We start from the raw sequence: 1454 nt of genomic DNA on the forward strand, positions 1-1454 counted from the left end.
ACCAGGTTAGCATGAATATACAGTTCTGTGGACCTAGCCATCTCTGAGAGGGGGAAAAATATATCTCGTTTTATCTTCAGGTTCCTGACACATTCTCTGATCAAGCTTTACCATCAATAATACTGAAGTCTGATTTTCCATTTGCTTCAGCCCTTTTGTTTAGATCCTGTAATCAGGACTCGGAGGGTTGTTGGGGAGAAATAAATGATGGGATTTATGCACCAAATCCTACTCTATACCTTAAAAAATGGGTTTGAGACATTTTATTTTTATTTATCTTTGGTAAATAATTTTATTTAGAAGTTTCTTAACATGAAGCTAACAAAGCATGCTTTACTTTCTGCTTATTATTCCGAGATAGATAAAACTTCACCCAAACTAGTTTCCTTAAGATATGTATATACCCTTTAAAGAAGGCATATGCCTTTATAATTTAATAATTTGGTTAATAAGTTTTTGTAGAGAATTTAAATTACTTAAGAGATAGAAGAGATGAGGTATAGCATGCAAGATAGGACTTTTACTTTTCTGGCACATTACATATTGTGCCAGTGGAAGTTTGTACTTTTATAAATGAGAAAAACTGAATATATGTAACTTCCTTAAGGGGGTCACACAGCTAATTGTAATAATGTCTAAGAACTGGCCAGTGACAGAAACTTAATGAATGAATACTCACCTTTGCCATTTTTAGTCCTTGTCCTGCATCCGGCTCTTTATCATCATGGTTGGATTGGGCAGAGAGAGCTCCTGCACACATACATGACCAGGAGCTCCTGACGGCCCTCATGCATAAAGGAACTCTGCAGTGAGTTGGGAATCAGTGGTACTGCTAAGCTAAGAAACCCTCCACTGCAGATCATCCCAGAGGCAAGAGCAAGTGAAGAATATGCTGTCAGCTCCTGGCATTTTTCCCTTTAGAAGAAACTGAGTGCTGGTTAATAGAGGCCAGAGGTCTCTGTGGCCTTTGGATGAATTCAGGGTTCAATCACTGAGCACTAGAAGGGAGAAGACCAGGCCTAAGTGGGGGGAGTAGTAAAACCTCTCCTATGAAGCAGAAAATCGGCTGGAATAACCCACTTATAATAAACTGGGATTAACAAAAGCCTAGCTGACTCAGAATTATTGTGAGTGTTCTGTTAAACCAACAGACAGATGAGCCTTATCTATGGGCATATATACAAGTATATACTGCCTATAAGAGGATATTTACAAGGCTTACCTTTTATTTTCTGATTTATTTGCCTTTAATACCTAGTTTGGTTTCAGTAAGAACCACCACAAACAAAAGCATTGAGAAAAATTAAAATTCATACTGCTAGGCATTTATAAAACCTAACTTTCAAGGCTGGGCGCAGTGGCTCGTGCCTGTAATCCAAGCACTTTGGGAGTCCAAGGCAGGCAGATCATGAGGTCAAGAGATCGAGACCATCCTGGCCAACACGGTGAAGTCC

This window comes from Homo sapiens, chromosome 14 (genome assembly GCF_000001405.40).
Source record: "Homo sapiens chromosome 14, GRCh38.p14 Primary Assembly".
Classification (NCBI taxonomy): domain Eukaryota; kingdom Metazoa; phylum Chordata; class Mammalia; order Primates; family Hominidae; genus Homo; species Homo sapiens.